General features: G+C 38.8%; 1 long non-coding RNA gene across 1 annotated transcript, besides 1 other annotated feature; it reads right to left on the bottom strand.

Annotated features, from left to right (window-relative positions):
• Positions 1–1,867: 1,867 nt before the first annotated feature.
• Positions 1,868–20,671, bottom strand: LOC101927238 (uncharacterized). The gene is made up of 5 exons (XR_245450.4): positions 20,345–20,671; positions 19,695–19,793; positions 13,152–13,248; positions 5,448–5,562; positions 1,868–2,205 (listed from the first exon to the last, which is right to left on the bottom strand). It is a non-coding gene; the product is annotated as an uncharacterized LOC101927238 (long non-coding RNA).
• Positions 20,152–20,652: an enhancer, noted in NCBI's record as "NANOG-H3K27ac hESC enhancer chr13:80792397-80792897 (GRCh37/hg19 assembly coordinates)". NCBI's record gives its function as "activates a minimal SCP1, AML or CMV promoter by ChIP-STARR-seq in primed H9 embryonic stem cells {active_cell/tissue: H9 hESC(primed)}" and the evidence as "EXISTENCE:reporter gene assay evidence [ECO:0000049][PMID:30033119]".

Genomic DNA, 22,937 nt, shown 5'->3' on the forward strand with positions numbered 1-22,937 from the left:
AATACATGATGTTTTGCTATAAATAAGTCATTGGTGTTATCTGTTTCTACTTTGCATATAGGGATGAAGAGCCAGCCATTGTTAGAAAGGCAATGTGACTCAGAGGCAAGACAAAGATAAGATCCTTCGTCTCTGGTATTCAGAGCAGGTCCTCAATTTATGGAAATAGTGACATTGTTCCATTTTCCCCGCATCCCAGTGAAAGTATTCAAGTGACTGTTTACACACAACTGGTGATGTTCACAGTTGTAGCACTTTTGCCCTCAATGTGTTATATCTATAGGAATTCATAAGTTGAAAGTTAGTAAGTGGAGATGCTTTTGTATTGAAATCCGATTTCTATTAACCAAGCGAAGAGGAAACTGAAGGTCTATTTATTCTAGTTTTAGACACACTTCTAAAAAGTTTGGCTATCTATTGTGCTCACAACACTAAAAATTAACAAATAAGTAGAAATAGTGCCTTAGAGGGAAATAGTGCCTTGGGGGAAAGATCCAGAAAAAAAATGAATAGAAGTTTAGGGTCGTTTTGTATAAAGACAAAAAGTCTATTACGTCTCTCAAAAGACAATTACAACTTTCAAGTGTAATTCCAGGGCATGGAAGCATTGCAGGACAATTCAATAACTGGGAGTAAATTAGGTTCATACTCTGAGGAGACAGGCAAATTTTCAATATATTTGAGACTGTTTCCAGCCTTTCTTCTTCCAAGTCCCTCCTCCACTTTGAAACCAGAGTACTATTTCTAAGACACAAATGTCACCCTGTCATTTCCCTGACTAAAACCCTTCAATGATTCCTTCTCCTTTGTCTACAGGGTAAAAATCTAAACTTCTTGGCTTGATGTACAAAGCTCTTCCAAGCCAGACTGTAATTTATATTATTTGTTAGCTGAACTCCTACCACCTCTCCACATGGCTTAGCCTACTATGTATCATGTTTAAGACCTACAGAAAGCCCTAGAATAATAATCATACTTACATCCATTGACTGTTTGCTGTGTTCCAAGTATGAGGCTAAGAATTCTTTGAACACCATCTGATTTATAGAATATTTAAATGATAAATGTTTATTGATTGTTTTACAGATAAGGAAACTGCTGCTCAAGTTAAGGTCAAAGTTAACTGACACGTGTACGATTTTACAGCTAGTAAGCAGCTAAGTTCAACATTACAACCAGCCAGTCTGATTCCTAGTAGGTAGACCTCAGGCTTTTGCCTGAGAGCCCCACGGACACCTGCAATCATTCTCTTATTAAAGGATGGCTCCCACCTTGCCATGTGTACATCAGGATTTCAAAAAACAAAATTCAGTAGGAGAGATTAAGACGATTTCTGCATACTTCTCAGTACAATTTAAAATTCATAAAGGCATTAGATAAATGTGTAACAATGTGTGATGTCTTTTTGATGGGATAGACAGAAAACAGAGGTCTTGATTCACTTGGGGTAATTAAAGAGTCTGTGACACATCTTAAAAGTGAAGAGGTATATGAATTCCGGGGCCCTGGCCAAATTCCAAACCACATAATTATATCTTCTCCTTATACCTAAAATTTTTCTCAGAGTTTCAGCTGAAAAATAAATTCTTTACTTCCCCTAGTAAATGTTACCACTCAAGCAGAAGCTTGTAAGATATCCTTAGGCCCCTTTAAGCAGGCCCTTCCTACATTTCACTGAGGAGTCAAGTTTCCTGTGCAAAGTGGCCCAGAAGAAAAGACACTGTTTTACATAACTTTCCATATTTTGTTGGATAAATATGGTAAGCATAACCAATATATTTTAGGAAGGAGGTATAGGTTGACAGACAGATATAGACATTAGAAATATACTAAAATCAAAGTAACAGAATAATAAATATTGAACTTATTTGAATGATTGTTTGAATGCTTTATTTAAACTACAACTCACCTCTTGCAAAAATGGTGGTTCTGACTCCCAGGGATGTTTGTCGACATGATGAAATAAAAGCAATGTTTTAACTTTAACTTAACAAAATAAAGCTCAAGGGTCACTTCCATGTGTCTCTCTGAACTGGATTATGCTTTGGATTTCAACTATAATTGAAATTTGTCACAAGTGATACTGGAAGTGTTGTAACAAATAGTAATTGAAGTGGGTGTCTCTTTATTAAAACTGATGGCATACTTTTTATTACTGCAAACGTTCAGTAGAAATCCTTGCTAAATATTCATAGAGATGAAGTACTGAAACAGAAAAAAAGGAATCAGTGTTGATCAGACTTTCATTTCAAATGAACCACTAATCAAATTTATTATAATTACATACTTTATTGAATTAGTGAACTGCTTACATTTATTGAATAATCTCCTCATCACTATGCTGAGTATTTTACATTCATCATTCCAGGAAGAACACTGTGAGCTTCTCTGAACTACCAAAGTGAAGAAACTGCCTAGAGCACCCACCTATTTTGCTCTCGAGGAGAAGACTCAAGTTATTCCAACATTATTTTTTGAACTAACTGTTAAACATAGTGTATAAAGGAATGACTTCAAGTTTTAAATTAATTTTTGGATAAAACACAACGTTTCAGAGGAATTCTGCACTTGTAATGAGACTTAGTAGATAAAGAAGAGAAACAGATGGTCAAAATAACCACAAGCTGAATGAGTGGTCTGTGCACCTGAACCCCTGGCATATTGCGTTTTCTTAACTGTTATGTGTTGAGTGGATAGATGATCCAAGACAGGGTCTGCCTTCACAGTTTAGGTCACTATTTTTATTTCTCTCATTCTGGTCTAAAGCAGGCATATTTGGCTACAAACAACTGCTGAGATGAAGAAGAGAAGCCTGGAGCAAAATGAAATCTCTACAGAGGCTAGGGCTGGACATAGAGCTCTTGGTGAGTTTTGCCAAAAGAGAGCCAATCAGCTGGGCTTAGTGCTGCATGCCTGTAGTCCTAGCTGCTTGGGAGGCTGAGGTGAGAGGATCACTTGAAGCCAGAAATTCGAGGCCAGCCTGAGCCACAGAGCAAGATGCTGTCTCTAACAAAATAAAGTAAAACAAATAAATAAACATTTTTTATAAAAAGGTCTACTCAGCTCCAGCTCATTATAAACATATGGCAACGCCAGATCTGACTTTTTTTTTTTTTTTTTGTATTTTTTAGTAGAGATGGGGTTTCGCCAAGTTGACCAGGTTGGTCTTGAACTCCTGACCTCAGGTGATCCACCTGCCTCAGCCTCCCAAAGTGCTGGGATTATAGGCTTGAGCCACCACACCTGGCCACCAGATCTGACTTTTTAAAGAGAAGCCAGGATTTGTATTTTTTCTTAAAGTAACCAGGTTGGCAACGTTTTCTGATATTATAAATACACTTTAAGCCAACAGAATATGCCTACTACCCATTTTTGGTGCATAAATTGCACATTTGCAATCTCTCATTTATGTCTTCTGTTCTTCCCTCATTTATACATTTGTAAAGAAATTTTTCCTGATAATTACTACTTCCATTGGCTAAGACAGCTAGTGTTCATATTAAAATCAAGGTTATAACCAACTGTTTTTCTATATTCCTTTCTTGTTTTTTGGTTCAATTTTAACTTCTGTCTCCTCTCATTTCTCCTCCATCCATGGGGTTCATTTGGCAAGAAATTTTGCTATCATTCAGCCCCAAATGGGATCATACTTTAAATGTCTTCACCTGATTTGAGATCATCCTGAAACACCTACTTCCTGTCACCCTGGGTCACACTAAAGGTGATCAAAGGCAGGCACCAACCTGATACAACACCTTCCTCCCCAAGGTTAAGATATTCTCTATCATCCTATGAGTCATATCAGTAAAATAATGTTTAATTTTCACAAAAGCCACATCATGCTCTCATTTCACCCCCATCACTCAATTTCAAGGCAATTCATGTGGACTTAAAATGATTTCTATTTTACCTTTTGAACCTTCGTTCTCTTCCTTTGGAGGGAAAAATCTGTGACTAATTCTAATCAATTTTGTCCTAACTCATGTTTGCATTCAAAAGCAATGATTTTCTTCCTTTCGTAGATTCTTCACAATTGCCATCAGCTATGAACTCAAGGTCCTAAGCCTAATTTCTATTAGGTATCACTCTAAAATAATGACCACATCTCTGCCTGAGCGGTATCCCCTGCTAACCCCACAAAGCGTGTCTCTGCTTTTTAGTCCTGGCCCTGAAGACAAAAATGGCCTCTTCAGTGAGTCATGTGCCCCTACTGACCGCAGGTAAAGCAGTTACTGTCAGCATTGTTCATTCACTAGTCCCCTTAAACGTTGGCTGAGTTTATATCTTCTTTTCCCCAGCCCTTTATTTCTTTTCTGAGACAAGTCATATGATACACTTTTTGTCACTTATAAGCCAGGCTTCCTTTATTCCATTGTAAATCGGTTAGCTTTACTGTTGATTGCCTGAAAAATATTTGTGGATTTTGATTATCTAGTCCCTGATACCCAAAGATGTCTGTGATGATAATGTTGTTGCCTGCACAGGACTTTCAGTGTTAAAACTGGGTAGTCCCAGGCAGATGGGGAGAGTTGGTCACCTAACTGTCAGGGAGTTAATTGAGAGAACAGACTAGCAGAGAATGCTGGGAAAGCTTAATAAGGCCTCAGAAAAAAAACACCACCAAGTCAGTTTTATGGCCCAGCTTCCTGATCCTCTCTGTGTCTTTCTTTCATGGTGTTTTTCTTTTCTTTTCTTTTCTTTTCTTTCTTTTTCGAGTTGGAGCCTCACTTTGTCACCCAAGCTGGAGTGCAGTGGTGCAATCTTGACTCACTGCAACATCCACCTCCCAGGTTCAAGCGATTCTTCTGCCTGAGCCTCCCGAGTAACTAGGACTACAGGTGAACGCCACCATGCCTGGCTAATTTTTGTATTTTTAGTAGAGACAGAGTTTCACCATATTGGCAGGCTGGTCTCGAACTCCTGACCTCATGATCCACCCACCTCAGCCTCCCAGAGTACTGAGATTATAGGCGTGAGCCACCACGCCCTGCCTTTGGTGTTTTTCTTCTTCATATATCAACTCCATTCCCCTCTGCCCACCAACCAGTTTTCCTTGCTTAATCTTTGTTTCTGTTCCTGTGCAACTTCATGCTAAAAGCCTGTCTTTAGAGGGAGGATACAGTTTTGAATTCCAGGTGAGCCATGTACAAGCTATTCTTAGATCTGAATTAGCCATAGCCAAAGGTGGACAGAGAAGTAAGGTCGTGTGTGATCAAATACTGGAATTTTGGAGAGCACAGCCTGTTAGTTTGGACATATTCCTTAGATGAAGGTGTGAGTAGGACAAGCTTTTTCAATCTGTATCTGACATACCATTCTCACTACTACTCACCCTTTCCTCCATCAGTTCAAGTTTATTCTCAGATGCAAGTTCACGTACAAGTGTGAAATGCAAGTATAGAAATTCTCACTCTGTAGCCAAATGCCCTTGATAGACCTTAACTTACCACAACATAGCATATTCCTCCAGTAGACAAGTTCAAAGCATCTACAGCCTTCCTCGTGTCTCCTGGCATCTGGTTCCAAACTTCATAATCTTCTCTTAGAGGCTTTCAAACTGCCCTTTTAGGGAAGAAACGTAACATCAGAGTCTGTCCCAAGTTTCGTAATTCATTCATAAGACTTACTCCTTTACCAATAGAGTGATATCATCTGATTTGTTTGTACATCTTAAACTTCTGATTTTATCAAGCAGAAGGGTATCATTTCCAAAAACTTTGAAAAAAGAAAAGCAACATAGCTTTCAACAGCTAAGCTTAAAACCTTGCATTTCTCAAATTATCTATGTAAAATGTATGATTCATAACTTAAATACTTAAAGGTAAGTGGGTGGCGGTGGAGGGTGGGGGGGACACAACTAGAACACCACAGCAGAAACTTCTGACTTGGTAGCTCTTTCTGTATTTGAACTATGCAATTAAACCATACAACAATTTCTCTTTTTGCTGAAGTCTCTTTCTTACTTCTTTCTTTGAATAATGGGATTCCCTATCTTTTTCTGCCTCTCATCCTAGGGTTTTAATTGCTTTTATTATTACATGGATCGATATAGTAGAATCAAATTTTAGAAAATACTATTTTAATAGAAATTTATTTCCTTTACATATAAGAGACTGTCTGTAAAAAGAAAAGCATTCTCTGAGCTGGGCACAGTGGCTCATGCCTGTAATCCCCAGACTTTCAGAGGCGGAGGTGGGTGGATCACTTGAGCTCAGGTGTTCGAGACCAGCCTGGGCAACATGGCAAAACCCTGTCTCTACTAAAAATACAAGAAAAATTAGCTGGGCTTGGAGGCACATGCCTGTAATCCCAGCTACTACGGAGGCTGAGGCAGGAGAATCACTTGAACCTGGGAGGTGGAGGTTGCAGTGAGCTGAGATTGAGCCACTGCACTCCATCCTGGGTGACAGAATGATACTCTGTCTCCAGAAAAAAAAAAAAAGAGAGAGAGAAAAGTGTTCTCTGTAATTATATAATCGACATATTTTATCTTTTATAAATATAAAAATTAATAACACCTTTCTTCCAAAAGGAATCCTTTAAATACATTTAAGTTTCCATTTATCAAGAAAATCCACCCCTATAGAATAAGCTGGATCCTTGTGCATTTGTGTAAATTATAATTTACTGGATTTCTACTGCTTTTCTTAAATAGCCATTGAAACCTTAATAAACGTATGACTTATATTCTAGCCTCCACTTAGACCATATTAAACTAAAAGAGCTGATGTGACTCATTGATTCACAGAAGATACCTTCGGAAATATTTATTTTATAATCAGCTTGATACATTCAACCTTTGCATGTACTCATCATTAATCACTCAAAAGGGGATATAATTTTTTAAAAAACCTTTATTTATGATGAATATGAACATTCATCCATGTGTTTGTGATGCAGTTTTGTAAGCTCAAATTCACAATTTAAAATCAAAAATTTTAAATTGTCCTATTGAAATTTGGCTTCGCTTTATAATTAATATGTGTATGTTTCTTATTTTTTTTCTTCTTCACAGTTCTTACAGCTTTTCTGATACAGTCCCTCATGACTCTCAATTAGATTATTTCCCTCCTAAGTAGTAAAATTCTTTAGCATTCCTTGCTTCTACAATTCACATAGTATATTCTGCCATGTTGTTCTTAAAACTGTGTTTTTAATCTGTAATTCCTCTACCAATGGTCTCTAATTTTATGTCAAAAAATCATCTTGAAATAGCAAAATTATAAACATCTTGGATTAGAAAATACCTTAGCAATATGTAGTCCAGCCTCCCAAATCATTCATAGTATGTGATTTGTTCATCTATTCCACAAATTTTTATTGTATACCTACTGTATTTCAAACATGGGAACAGGCTCTAAAAATAATGACAGTGAAGATAAAAATAATACAGTTGCTCTCTTAAAATTCTAAGTGACAGACTGTTTTACATTCTAAGTGAGAGAGAAAAAAATAAACAAGAAAATAGACAAAAGAATCAAGTAGCATGTGTCATGAAGAAAATAAAATGGTGATGGTAACTGCATGGCTACTTTAGATTGGATGGCCAGGGAAGGTGTGTTAGTTTCCTAGGACTACCACAAAAAAATTATCACATACGTGGTAACCTAAAACAACATAAAAATATCCTTTCACAGTCCTGGAGGCCAGACATCCACAATCAAGATGTAAGCAGGCTTGTGCTCCCTCCAAATGCTCCGGGGGAGACCCCTTTCTTGTCTCTTCCAGTTTCTGGTTGCTTGATGCATTTCTCAATTTGTGGCTGCCTAACTTCAATCTCTGCCTCTATCTTCACATGGCCTTCTCCTCAATCCATGTCTCTTCTCTATGTGTCTCATAAAGACACTTGTTACAGGATTTAAAGCCCACCTGTGTAATCTAGGGTCATCTTAAGATTCTGAATTACATTAGCAAAGACTCCTTTTGAAAATAAGGTCACATTCACAGGTTCCAGGCATTAGGACATGGACGTATCTTTTTGAGGACCACCATTTCAACCCACTACAGAAGGATTCTCTGAAGAGGTGACATTTCAGTTGCAACCTAACTTTGAGGGTTTCAGTTGACATGTGAAAAAGACCACAGGAAGCCCTGGTGCGGTGGCTCATGACTGTAATCCCATCACTTTGGGAGGCCGAAGTGGGCGGATGACCTGAGGTCAGGAGTTCGAGACCAGCCTGGCCAACATGGAGAAACCCCGTCTCAACTAAAAACACAAAATTAGCCAGGTGTGGTGGCACATGCATGTAATTCCAGCTACTCGGGAGGCTGAGGCAGGAGAATCGCTTGAACCCGAGAGGCGGAGTTTCCGGTGAGCCGAGATAGCACCATTGTACTCCAGCCTGGGTGACGAGCGAAACTCTGTCTCAAAAAACAAACCAACAACAACAACAACAACAACAAAACAGGAAGAGAGACCAGCCAGTACAAAGGCCCCAGAGCAAAACAAGGCTGGACTCTTTGAGGAAGCAAAAGAAAATTAGCATGGCTGAAGATTCATTGTGAAAAAGAGTCTCGCAAAATGGGTACAGAGTGTGAGGCTGATTGTGGATGTTATGATAAATATTTAAAGGGGTCCCTTAACTTAGTGCCAAGCTTGGGAGTATGAATTGTATGTGTTAGTAAAAAGGAAGTGACTGAAGAGTTGTAAGCAGGACAATGGTAAGATGCAATTTATGTTTCGAAAATTTTATTCTGGTTCCTATGTAGAGAACAGTTTCTAAGGAAGCAGGTGGAAAAGAAAGAAGACACGTTAGGCCAGGCGTGATGGTTTAAGCCTGTAATCCCAGCATTTTGGGAGTCCAAGGCAGGCGGATCACGAGGTCAAGAGATCGAGACCATCCTGACCAACATGGTGAAACTCCGTCCCTACTAAAAAATACAAAAATTATCCGGGCGTGGTGGCAGGCCCCTGTAATCCTAGCTGCTCAGGAGGCTGAGGCAGGAGAATCGCTTGAACCCAGGAGGTGGAGGTTGCAGTGAGCCAAGATCACGCCACTGCACTCCATCCTGGTGACAGAGCAAGACTCCATCTCAAAAATAAATAAATAAATAAATAATAAGAAAGAAGACAAGTTAAAAAGCTGTTCAGCCGGGCACGGTGGCTCACACCTGTAATCCCAGCACTTTGGGAGGCCAAAGAGGGCCGATCATGAAGTTAGGTGTTCGAGACCAGCCTGGCCAACATGGTGAAACCCTGTCTCTACTAAAAATACAAAAATTAGTCAGGTGTGGTGGCAGGCCCTGTAATCCCAGCTACTCAGGAAGCTGAGGCAGGAGAATCGCTTGAACCCGGGAGGCAGAGGTTGCAGTGAGCCAAGATTGCGTCACTGCACTCCAGCCTGGGTGACAGAGCAAGACTCCGTCTCAAACAAACAAAACAAAACAAACAAACAAACAAAAAAGCTGTTCATGTAAATAGTTTAGGCAAGAGACACAAATGGCCACAGGTAGCTTTAGTTAGGGAGAATAGCGTACAGATCCAGAATATATGTTACAGACATAGTTGATAGGATTTGCTGGTTGATTTCAACTAGAAAGATGAGGAAAGCCAGGCGCAGAGGCTCACGCCTGTAATCCCAGCACTTTGGGAGGCTGAGGCGGGCGGATCACCTGAGGTCAGGAGTTCATGACCAGCCTGGCCAACATGGGGAAACTCCGTCTCTACTAAAAATACAAAAATTAGCTGGGCATGGTGGCGGGTGCCTGTAATCCCAACTACTTGGGAGGCTGAGGCAGGAGAATCACTTGAACCCAGGAGGTGGAGGTTGCAGTGAGCCGAGATTGCACCACTGCACTCCAGCCTGGGCAACAAGAGCAAGACTTCATCTCAAAAAGAAAAGAAAAAGAAAAAAAAAATGAGGAAAAGAGATGAATCATGGTTGACCTCCGGGTCTTTGGTAGAAAGTGTTACAATTTCCTGAGATGAGAAAGATGGTGAGAGAAATTTGAGGTGGAAAAATCAAGGGTTTGGTTTTGGCCATCTTCCATGTGGAGATGTCAAATAATTGGATATAGGAACCCAGCAATGGAGCAAAATGTCAGAACTGCAGACATAACTCTGGTAGTTCTCTTACTTCTACTTGGATACTATTGATGACAATTTAATCTTTAGGAAGTCAATTGTATTGTTAGACTTGTAATTTAGAGCCAGTTGATAAGTCATGAACACTCATTGCTCTCCTTAATGACTGCACACCCCCTGTGCCATGCTGTCCCCAAACAACAAGCACCACCAAAAGAGTATTATGCTAATTAGCCTAATTTATTCACTTTGTATATTAATCTTGTTTTCACTGAAATTACAAGGGTTCTGAAAGAAATCCCAAAAGAGGAAGTCTAAATAGTGGGAATTACAGTGTTATAGTCATAATGACTTATGCGGCTTCCCAAGATATCGAACTCCTCTGTAGAGAGCAGCAGTCATTTGAATATTTAGTAAGTTTTAGAGTATTTTTTTAAATATTCTTTTTTTTCTTTTTTTCTTTTTTTTTTTTGTGGCAGGGTCTCACTCTGTCACCCAGACTGGAGTGCAATGTTGTGATCTCAGCTCACTGCAACCTCTGCCTCCAAGGTTCAGGCGATTCTCCTGCCTCAGCCTCCTGAGTAGCTTGGATTACAGGAGTGTGCCACCTTGCCCAGCTAATTTGTTAATTTTTGGTAGAGATGGGGTTTCATCACGTTGGCCAGGCTGGTCTTGAACTCCTGACTTCAAGTGATTCTCCCGCTTCGGCCTCCCGAAGTGCTGGGATTACAGGCATGAGCCACTGTGTCCAGCATAAAATATATATATATATATTTTTTGGAGACAGAGTTTCACTCTTTTTGCCCCGGCTGGAGTGCAATGGTGTGATCTCGGCTCACCGCAACCTCCACCTCCTAGTTCAAGCGATTCTCCTCCTGCCTCAGCCTCCCGAGTAGCTGGGATTACAGGCATGTGCCACCACCCCAGCTAATTTTGTGTTTTTAGTAGACACGGGGGTTTCTCCATGTTGGTCAGGCTAGTCTTGAACTCTTGACCTCAGGTGATCCACCCACCTCGGCCTCCCAAAGTGCTGGGATTACAGGTGTGAGCCACTGCGCCCAGCCCAAAATATTCTTTACATTCGTATCTTACATAGATTTATATCTATGTATACTATGTATCTGTGGTAATTCTACATATGTAAACACACATATACATGTATACGTAAGGTATTATGTAAATGTGCATGTGACAGATAATAGATACAGGTGGAAGAGAAGAAACACATCACTGCTTTGAATGAGAACACCATAGTCAGCAATGTGAAAAGCCTATAGTCTTGCTGCAAGAGTGACAAATGGCCCTGAAGATTTTCTAATAACTAGAAAATCTAACAAACACAAAAAACTCACAGTGCAAATTATGTGTTCTGTTACACGCTCCCGTAACTGCTACTCATTTTTGCCCAGCTTAACCATCCAGAAAACAGTTAAAAGTTCTATTCTAGGCCAGGCGCAGTGGCTCATGCCTATAATCCCAGTATTTTGGGAGGCCAAGGCGGGTGGATCACCTGAGGTCAGTAGTTCGAGACTAGCATGACCAACATGGTGAAACCCCGTCCCTACTGAAAATTCAAAAAGTAGCCAGGCGTGGTGGAGGGCGCCTGTAATCCCAGCTACCCTGGAGGCTGAGGCAGGAGAATTGCTTGAACCTGGGAGGTAAAGAGTGCAGTAAGCTGAGATCGCACCATTGCACTGCAGCCTGGGCAACAAGAGCAAAACTCTGTCTCAAAACAAACAAACAAACAAAAAAGTGTAGCAATGTATTATAGCTCTTGGTGCTAGAGTGCTAAACCTCCCCTCCCCACCACTCCCCACCACCAACACACACACATTTTATTTTTCACTCTCCCCAGGTAAAAAGCAGTTAGCCTCAGGGCAAAGCCATGACTTGAAGTTGAGGATAAAATTAAGTTTAGTGATTAAGCAGTCTCAGTTACCTGATTTCATCTGAGACCCTTCATTTCCTTATTTCTCAGAAACCACGGTAAGTGTTGTTTCTAGGATGGACAAACTGATAACCTAAAACTGCACAGAAGACTCTGAAGTACTGAAGCAGAGAATACTCTGTTATAGAAACAAATAACCCTGTGTAATTTTGCTGTCCTAGAATGATGACTGGGGTGGGGGGAGCGGCAATTGCAACCTTCAGACCTACTTTGTCTCTCTGAGACACCCTGTGATATTTGGACTTGTAACCAAAACACCTGGGTTTGAATCTGACTCTACTACTTAGTCATGTGTGACTTTATAAATCTGTTTACATCTCTGAATCTTAATTTCTTTTCATCTGTAGAATTTTAACAATGCCACCTCATAGGAGGTTGGCAAAAGTGATTTAAAGTTTATTTGTATTGAATTTTTCTTAATTACCTTCAATATTAAAACCAACTTTTTTAAGTCCTTAGAGGATTTGAATACACTGACATCAGTTTTAGGAATATTGGTTAAAAATAACTCTGGGAAGTTTCAGTTGTGTTGGCATCACCCAGTCCTTGCTCTGAGCTCATGCAACATAAAGTCAGTACACCCCAGAGCCACCTCAGCTGCTCCAACTCTTGCTGATGTTTTTTTTTTTTAAAAGTTGAAAATTATATACATTTTCCTTTCAGCTAGCATTTTTAGTGAAATAATTCCAGTTTATATTTAAGCTTTTTGATTTTACATGCAAAATATATCATTACAACCATTAAAAAATATTTCATGTAAAAAAATAAATAAATAAAATGACTGAGAGGAATTATCTAGGAAAAGGTGTTAGATCACAAAGGAAGATTAAAAGCCCTCCATGGGGAAGGAAGACATGAGAACTGTTTGGGACCTTCAGAAGATAAAAAATGCGAACCTTGAGAAGAGAAAGAAAAAATAAAGAGTTTTAGTGTTAGTGTTAACTACCCTTATGTGAGGGTAGTAGCCCTAGAGTGAAGTGGGCCACTAGAAAAACAATATATTAGAAGTATGTAAATGAAAAGTAAAGTAGCACAAAAAAATAGTAATATCAAAGGTGAGTTTGGAAAATGAGAAGATGTGGACTTCTCTAAATTGATCAATGTTTTTGACATCATCAATTTATTTGCATAAGTTGAGATGTGTACTTTACACCTACTTCAAGTATTTCTGATACTTACCACAAGAATTTTTCTCCACTAGATAGACTAGTTATGAGTTTTTCACTGGCTAATTGTGTGTTCTATAAGATAAGAACACTGTGGGCCAAAGGTACTGCTGAAAAAAGAAACGGAAAAAATGGTGCAAATTAAAGATTATCATGGAGATGACATTGTCCTGATTCTTCATAGCAAGGGATCAACCAAACAGCCATGGAACCTAATTTAACTGTCTTCTGTTTGAAAGACTACCCAAAGGAAGAGTGAGGAAGGCATTTTTACTCACAGGAAGGAAAATAAAGAAGTTGCTTGAATAGGGCAACACATTTTTGGCTCCCAAATATTTCATTGATCTATTATAGCTTTGCTATCTAGCATGCACAATACCATCAGCTAAATTCAGTGTGAATGGGGGAAGTAGTATTGTGTGTGTTTAAAATTTTAGTGCGCCAGTGCTCCACATCCACTCAATTGAAGTGGAGCCAGTCCTGTCCCAGAAACAGTTCAGCAGTTTGAGAAAGGCCAGATGAAGTTTCATGTGAAATGATGTTCGCAGAGGAAGAAGGATGAAACAGATTGTGGCCTGCAGACATACAGATGGGGGTTATTTTAAAAACATCACCAATGAATTCTGGATGCTTATATATCTGAATTGTACATCAGTTACTTACTTACAGTTAATACTCTCTAAACCATTAAAGAAGGAATGAAAGTAATAAAATTAATTGTTCATTCATTAGCCCAAGAGCTTTTACATTGTACAAAATGGCTATAGAATATCAGCCTGATTGTATCAGCAATGGGTTATGCCTTTGGTACCAGGGAGTGCAATCTTCATACTCCCTAGATAGAGCATGCCTTCCCTAGAATGGCTTCTGGGAACCTAACTTTTCTTCTTTCTTACCTGAGTTGCTCTCCTCTTGAGGGAAGGCATCCATCTCTTCCTGGGGTATTGTTCAGTATCCTGATTCATGCTCTCACCTGGTGCCACATCCCAAAGTAACCTGAATGTTACTGTTTTTGTCATCTTTATTAATTATCATTTAACTTCGATTATGTAGAAAAACATGGCTATAGAGTATTTTCTAACTGGACTAGAATTCTATTTCTGTGCCCTACTACCTATGTGGCTTAGATTGAATCATTTCTCCTTCTCTAGGTCTAAATGGACCTTTTATAGGTGGGCTTTGCTGCTTTTATCCCCAAGGTGCTCTGTTAATGATTGTTTCTTTGCTGTGTGGCAAGAACATTACTACAAATGGAGAAATTAGAAATAAGATGAACATTGTCTCTGAGGGGAAATCATGAGTTAAGGTTTGGATATGCTGAGATTGAATCAATATGAATTTAACCCATTGGTGTTCACTCATGGCTGGTGCTTAAGGAGCTAAAGCTAAATATCCCTGGACTGGTGTGTACATAACCTGAGCTTGTTCAATGCAGAGTGCTTTAAAACCTTCCATGACTCCCTGCTTTCTTCAGGCTGACATCCAAATATGACAAATTTTTTTAATTTATTTTTATTTTTATTTTTCTTAGATGGAGTCTTGCTCTGTCACTAGGCTGGAGTGCAGTGGCACGATCTCGCCTCACTGCAACCTCCGCCTTCTGGGTTCGAGCAATTCTCCTGCCTCAGCCTCCTGAGTAGCTGGGACTATAGGCATGTGCCACCTTGCCCAGCTAATTTTTGTTCCCTTAGATTGTGTTAGTAATGTAAGATTTTAACAACTTTTTAGTGGAGGTATTTCTTTTTATCTGAATCTTCCATCAAGTGCCAAATGCTTTATGGGGAATCTAAAAAAGTCAAACTCATAGAAACAGAGAATAGAAGGGTGGTTACTAGGAGTTGAGGGATTCAGGAAATGGGAAAATGTTGGTCAAAGTGTACAAAATTGCAGTTATAAGATAAATAAGTTTGGGAGACTTAATATACAGCATGGTGACTCTATTTAATAATAATGTACACAAGGCTGGGCGCAGTGGGTCATGTCTGTAATCCCAGCACTTTGGGAGGTGGAAGCAGAAGGATTGCTTGAGCCCAGGTGTTGGAGACATGCCAGGGCAATATAATGAGACCCCATCTCCACAAAAAATCAAAAATATAGCCAGACGTGATGATGCATGCTTGTGGTCCCAGCTACTTGGAAGGCTGAGGCAGGAGGGTCCCTTGAGCCTGGGAAGAGGAGGCTGTAGTGAGCCATGATAACACCACTGCACTCCAGCCTGGGTGACAGACAAAGACCCTGTCTCAAATAAATAAATAAATAAAATTATAATAATGTATACAGAATACTTGAAATTCCTTAAGTGAGTAAATCTTAACCATTCTTACTACACACACACAAAAAGGCAACCCTGTGAGGTGATGGATATGTTAATTAACTTGATTATGGAAATCATTTCACAATGTCTACACATATCAAAACATCACATTGTACGCTTTGAATATATACAATTTTTGACAATTATAATTTAATAAAGCTGGAGGAGAAAAGTCAAGTTCTATTTTATCACAAAGAGGCATTACCTATTATATGGGCAAAAAAAGATGTGAAAACATGCCTTTGTTTAACAGAATGGCCACATTCTGTTAAACAAAACAATATTCTACAGGATATTTATGATCTATGTAGAGTTAGTATTTCTATTCTTTGTAGAACCCTGTTGCAGTTCTACATCTATTTCAATCCTGCCTTTCAATAAAATGCTAAACTATCATATTTGTCTTTTAACCTAATCGTCATACCTTTTAAGAAAGCATCAGCTAACTTTATCTTAAAATCTTGATCTTTGCAGCATTCAAATATTGGTACAGACGACATATGGGTTCTATAATAATCTTATTGTGGTTATCTTTATTATTTAAAACCAAATTACATTTAAATGCATTCTGAAATCTTTGAGTACAGGCTGAGAAATAAAAAATAATCTTGTCTGGGAGAGACCATTGTGATTTCACCCACAAATGATAGAAACCTCAAGTATTTGTTCAGGTCATTTAGGTATGCGTGTGTGTGTGTGTGTGTGTGTGTGTGTGTGTTTCATAATTCCACTTGACATTGCAGAAGTCTTTTCTGTTTTAAAATATTAACTCTACATTTGTCTTGAACTGCCTTATATTTACAACACTCCCATTAATATTTTTGACCTGGTCTAGTATTTCAGATAAATTCTTTACCCTGACACAAATCAATAATGAAGTGCAGTTTAGTTAAGGCTTCTATTAGGCCTGATTTTCTCAGGGATAATATGTGATATAGTAAACATCTTGCTTTTGCTTATGTGGTACTTCTGGGAGCGGAACAGTCTGCCCTCGGGCAAATGAATCCCAAGCCAAGGAGGGATGCACCCTTCATATTCTGTTAATTGATTGAAAGGGCAAATGATCTATAGGGAAAGTTGCATCATTAACTTAATTGAGGGCAAAGCCTAATTAGAGGGGAAATGGAGTAGACAGAGCCAGAGACACAGCAGGCCTTCATCTGTGATGTCAACAAACAGACCTTGTAACTAGAACCAGACAGAGACTGCAGGCCTTCATTTACATCTTCAGTTTCAATGTGAAAACATTCACTGTGTGACTGTATGTGTGAGTGTGTGTGTGTGTGTGTGTTTGGCCAGGGGAAAAGCAAAAGTTTACATACTTAGATAGAAATCAGTTCCTCCCAGGTGGAAATGCCTAGTGGGAATCAATATGTTTTAAACAAGTTAACTGAATTGTATATTTGAGAGGTTAATCTGAAACACATTTGAGCTCTAAAACCGGGCGGAAGTGGGGGAGGTCCTATTCTCACTTATAGAGCGGACGTAGAAGTAAATCAACCAAACATAAAGATTTTTTTTTCCAACTTGAGTATGGACAGATTACAGTGGGGATTTATTTTGAACACGACTATATTACTGTACGAACACATACAAAGTATTTGAACAACATAGGTCAACACCAATTTATCCTACAATAAGTAGCCATTCCGAAATAGGTATAAAATTATACTGCATTACAAAAGATAGGAGATATTGATTCCATTACAATGCATGTTGCAAGTGAAGATACCCAGGTTCCCCTATATTTTGTAAGTGAACTGCTTTCTAGCAACTCCTGGCTCCTTGATTGTCTTCTTAAAATCAGAAGCCACTGTATCATAAACAACAGTAATAAACTTAGATGCTTCTTAAGTGCTTTAAACTTTGGGTTCAAATTTGAGCTGAGACTAAGACAGGTGGTGATGGTCAGAACATGTGCTTTTTATTCTTTCAGAAAATTCCCTGTCCAACTCGCCGATGAGTGCATTTTTCTCTGAGTATAGCAAAACAAACAAAACCTTTCACAAGAAATTCCACTTATGAGAAATAAAGAATGTAAGCAGACATGTTTTGGCTACAGCACTAGTTGTTAAAATACATGGGTATTCTTTCAACTGTAGTCATTCATTGACTTTACAAAAGCTGGGCCCCATTTCTTACTTCTTACGCATACACAGATTTGTATATCTAAATTTTTTAAAGTATAGCAATCTTAATAAATAGAATGAATGGCTACTGAAATATTTCAGCTAAGAGAGAGAAAATCACACGTTAATTAACTAGAATTTTATTTGTTTAAGCATACCAAGTAGGTGCTATATCTGAGAAATAAAATAAGCCCTTTTGTATATAAGAAAAAATTCCAGTGACTTTGGGCAGGAAACTAGTATTAACATTGTATTAATAGGTTGTCTTATTAGAGATCTGGATCAATTCATCATATTTTCAGATTTAGTTAGGAATTTTTTTCTTCTATCATTTATTTCCCTGAATATTTATATCTCTGCTTCTCAAGTTTGATTTATCTGCAAACTCCTGAAGATTTTCTTTTTTCTTTTTTTTTTTTTTTTGAAACAGAGTCTCTCTCTGTCACAAGGTTGGAGCACAGTGGCACAATGTCAGCTCACTGCAACCTCTGCCTCCCAGGTTCAATCGATTCTCCTGCCTCAGCCTCCCGAGTAGCTGGGACTACAGGCATGAGCCACCATGCCCAGCTAATTTTTGTATTTTTAGTAGAGACGGTGCTTCACCATGTTGACCAGGATGGTCTCGAGCTCTTGACCTTGTGATCCACCCGCCTCGGCCTCCCAAAGTGCTGGGATTACAGGCATGAGACACTGCACCCAGCCAAGATTTTCAAGTTGCTAAGTCATATTGTCAAAACCGTATATTTTTCTTGATAACTAATCACAGACAAAGTTTGATCTTAACGGCAATGTGGTCATGAGGAAGAAGTCCAGCTGCAGCCACCAGTCTCAGAAGAAACACGCATGCTCTATCTTCCAGCAAAGTTCTATTTGTAAATGCTAAACTTACAAATTTCATCCAAAAAGTAACAAGGAATCAGTACCCTATAGTTTGATGACTTTCCTCAACCACAGGACTCAGGGCAACTAGGCTCAATTGAACAGTTGAATATTGCATTTTTGGTTAAATACAGAGATAATTTCCTTTCCATCTCAGATTGCATTTACTGAGAGATTGTTGTGAGTTGCAGTAAAACATAACTTTTGGTGTACTAATAACAGCATATCCATTTTTTCAAATCTAAATCCAAGGAGTTATTGGATTATGTTTAGCAGTATTTTCACCATACATCCATACTCCCTTCAGACTTTTTAACATTTTTCTCATCATGTTTTAGAAAGAGAAAAGATAACTCTTTGTTTTTTGTTGTTGATGGTTTTTTTTTTTTTTTTTTTCAGACAGAGTTTCACTCTTGTTACCCAGGCTGGAGTGCAATGGCGTGATCTCGGCTAACTGCAACCTCCACCTCCTAGGTTCAAACTATTCTCCTGCCTCAGCCTCAGCCTCCCGGGTAACTGGGATTACAGGTGCCTGCCACCACGCCTGGCTAAGTTTTGTGTTTTTAGTAGATACAGGTTTCCCCATATTGGCCAGGCTGGTCTTGTCCTGACCTCAGGTGATCCACCCGCCTCAGCCTCCCAAAGTGCTAGGATTACAGGCATGAGCCACCGTGACCGAGAAAAGGTGACTCTTATTGAAATTATAATTCAGACCTCTGCTAGAGTGGTGGTTTTGAATTAACTGACTGGTTCTACATCTATACTGCGTTTGCTTCTGGGGAACATGGCTGAAGGCCTTTGCCACCTAAAGGGCCTTGGAGCAGAATAAAAAGTCCAGGTCTCTTTGTGGCAGATATGCTTATATCTGAACTGATAATAAACACTGCCTGGAACGGGTAAAGGAAGAGAACATGCCACAGGTGTTCCAGTCTTAAGACTCAAAATCCTCCCTGTCATGGGTTCCATAACTATAGAATCCCAACACCATTACCAGCAATGCATAAAGAAATCCATGCCCTAAATTTTTTAAAAAACTCAGATAATAATCTTAGTAATTTGTCCATATAGTGTTAAAATCTGTATAACTAATATTTTGATTTTCTTCTAAATGCTTAATATTAAGTACTTATCATGTTTATCCTCATATTGAGTCCCTATTCTTGGATCTTAGAGGAAAAAATTTGTGATTTTTTATTAGAAAGATCTGAATTTGAGTCCAGGTGTCATCACTTACCAGTCACGTGATCCAGAGTAACACTAAAGCTTTTCTTCATTTTCATATGAAGAACTGGAATAGTAATATTTCCTTTGCAGGATAATTGTAAAACTTAATCTAAAATTAAAAGAGACAGGAGGAGTAGGGGGATTGAGGGATCAACATTTTATTCTGAGCACAAAGTATGTCTCTCTTGAGTCACAAACCTTGCCCCCAGATCACATTAAAATGACTCAAAGGAAGTGGGAAAAAGAATAAACTGATAACAATAAAGGGAAGGTAGGGAGTAGGCGTATTCACTAGCAGACAAGAGACGTCAACAAATTCCGGGTAGATATGAGCAGCTGAAAGCTGCAGAGAAACAAAGGGGAAGAACGCGCATTCCAGAGAATGCCCACAAGGAAGCTTAGTGGGCCATTCTCTTGGTAGTAGCACTATGGGCTCAGAGTTGACAACTAGGAGAGCAGGAGTGAGAAACGAAGCAAAAACAAGGGGCTTAGGTCAACTTTCACCTACAGTCCCCTCCACCCCTCCTGCAGGCAGAAAAACTGACACCACAGCCCAGCATTTACCTCCAGGCTAATCACTGTAGGGCTTTATCTTCAAAGAGTGAGCAAGCTTCCTGTTTAAAGCTAACCATTCAGTATGGACCAGGAGGATAAACTCACCTCCCTCTGCAGTGGAGGGCCAAGCTGCTTTCTGGTCCTCTGCAGGTGAAGTCCGCCACTGGAGCTGATATACCTCCTTTGCATCCCGAGCCGCTTTGGGGAGTGGAGGGAGGTGGAGAGAAATCACTGTGGAAGCTGACTTATTTACAGTACAGCTACCCATATCCATGCTGACCACCTGTGATATAGGAGGCCTTCATTTTTCACTAAGAGCAGTTAATCACGAATCACTAGATCAATGTGGAAAACCGTTAATTATAGCTATGATTTCTTAGTACTTCCTATATAGTAGATTTCATTCAATGTCTTGATTTATTTATTTTTTATTATTTTTTTATTTTTGAAACAATCTCGCTTTGTTGCCCAGGCTGGAGTGCAGTGGTGCGATCTCGGCTCACTGCAACCTCCGCTTCCTGGGTTCAAGCTATTCTCCTGTCTCAGCCTCCCAAGTAGCTAGGACTATAGGCACACGCCACCACACCTGGCTAATTTTGTATTTTTAGTAGAGAGAGGGTTTCACCATGTTGGGCAGGCTGGTCTTGAACCCCTGACCTCAGGTGATCTGCCTGCCTCCCAAAGTGCTGGGATTACAGGTGTGAGCCACCACACCTGGCCAATGTCTTGATATTTTTAATTCATTTAATCCTACTAGGATTAAAGTATGTTAAGCAGGTACTATAATTATCAATGTTTTATAATTGAGGAAACTAAACCACATAGAAGTTGAATTACTTGTCCAAAACTACCTAATTAATAAATGATAGAGCTGAAATTGAAATCCAGAAATCTGAGTCTCAGACTCTACATTCTTGAAAGCTATGCCATACTACCTTATATTTATCACTTCAAAAAAAAATCTTTTAGTTTCAGGAGTACATATGCAGGTTTGTTATATATAAACTCGTGTCATGGAGGTTTGTTGTATAGATTATTTTGTCACCCAAGTACTAAGCCTAGTAGTCATTAGTTATTTTTCCTGATCCCTTCTGTCCTCCCACCCTGCACCCTCCAAAAGGCCTCAGTATGTGTTGTTTCCCTCTTTGTGTCCATGATTTCTCATTATTTAGCTCCCACTTGTAGTAAGAACATACAGTACTTGGTTTTCTGTTCTTATGTTAGTTTAGGAGGGACAATGGCCTCCAGCTCCATCCATGTCCCTGCAAAGGACATGATCTCATTCTTTTTATGGCTGCATAGTATTCCATGGTGTACATGTTCCACATTTTCTTTATCTAATCTGCCATTGATGGGCATTTAGGTTGATTCCATGTCTTTGTATAGTGCTGCAATAAACACATGTGTGCATGTGCGTTTATGGTAGAACAATTTGTATTCCTTTGGGTGTATACCCAGCAATGGGGTTGCTGGGTCAAATGATAGGTCTGTTTTTAGCAATTTGGGGAATGGCCATACTGCTTTCCACAATAGTTGAACTAATTTACATTCCCACCAACAGTGTATAAGTGTTCCTTTTCTCCGCAACCTCACCAGCATCTGTTATTTTTTGACTTTAATAATAGCTATTCTGACTGGTGTGAGATGGTATCTTATTGTCATTTTGATTTTCCTTTCTTTCATATGCTTGTTGTCCGCAGATATGTTTTCTTTAGAAAACTGTCTGTTGATGTCCTTTGACCACTTTTTAATGGGATTGTTTGTTTGTTTTTTCTTGTACATTTGTTTAAGTTCCTTATAGATGTTAGATATTAGACCTTTGTTAAATGCATAGTTTGCAAATATTTTCTCCCATTCTTGTACTACCTTGTATTTTAAAAAAGAAAGCCTTTTTTAAAAAGAGTAAGATAAAGAAATAAACATAATTCAGAGAACAGGAAAAAAAGTGTTTTAATTACTATGCTCAAAGAAATTTGAGAGCTTATGTCATGAGCGTCATGAAAATAGAAGCAGAAAAAAGAATGAGCTCTTAGAAATTAAAAACAAAATTGCCAAACTTAAAAGAAAAATCAATAGAATGAGTGGAAGATAAAGTTATAGAAGACTTGCAATGTTTTATGAAGTAAAACATTGAAAGAAAAAGATATGCAACATAGAGAATCATTCCAAAAAGTCTAAAATTCAATTAATAGAAGTTCCAAAAAGATAGGAAATAGAAAATGGGTAAGAGGAAATTATATAAGATATATTAGAACACTTGAAGTCTTGGTATTTGGTATTAAAGAGAAAAGGAAAAAAAAAAAAGATATATTAGAACAAAATGTCCCAGTACTGAATGTACAACTTTAGGTTGAAAAAGTCTGACATGTTTTGAGAAACATGAATTTTAAAATCCATATTCAAAATATATCTTCATGAAATTTTCAGCACATTAAGTCTAAATAGAGGTGTTGAAAACGTCTAGGGAGAAGGGGAAAATGCCTATAAGGATGAAGGACCACACTGCAGACTGACGAGATTTTCCATCAGCTATCCTGGATGCTAAGGAAACTTTGGGTCCAGGCTTTTCAAATGCCGAGAAGTAATTTTCTCAAAGGTGAAATACAGTGCGAATTCAACTATTAAGTCAAGGATGGGGGCAAAAGGGAGGCATTTTCACACTGAAATTGATCAAACAAGGTATAATGGTATAAGCATA

This window comes from Homo sapiens, chromosome 13 (assembly GCF_000001405.40).
Source record: "Homo sapiens chromosome 13, GRCh38.p14 Primary Assembly".
Lineage (NCBI taxonomy): Eukaryota > Metazoa > Chordata > Mammalia > Primates > Hominidae > Homo > Homo sapiens.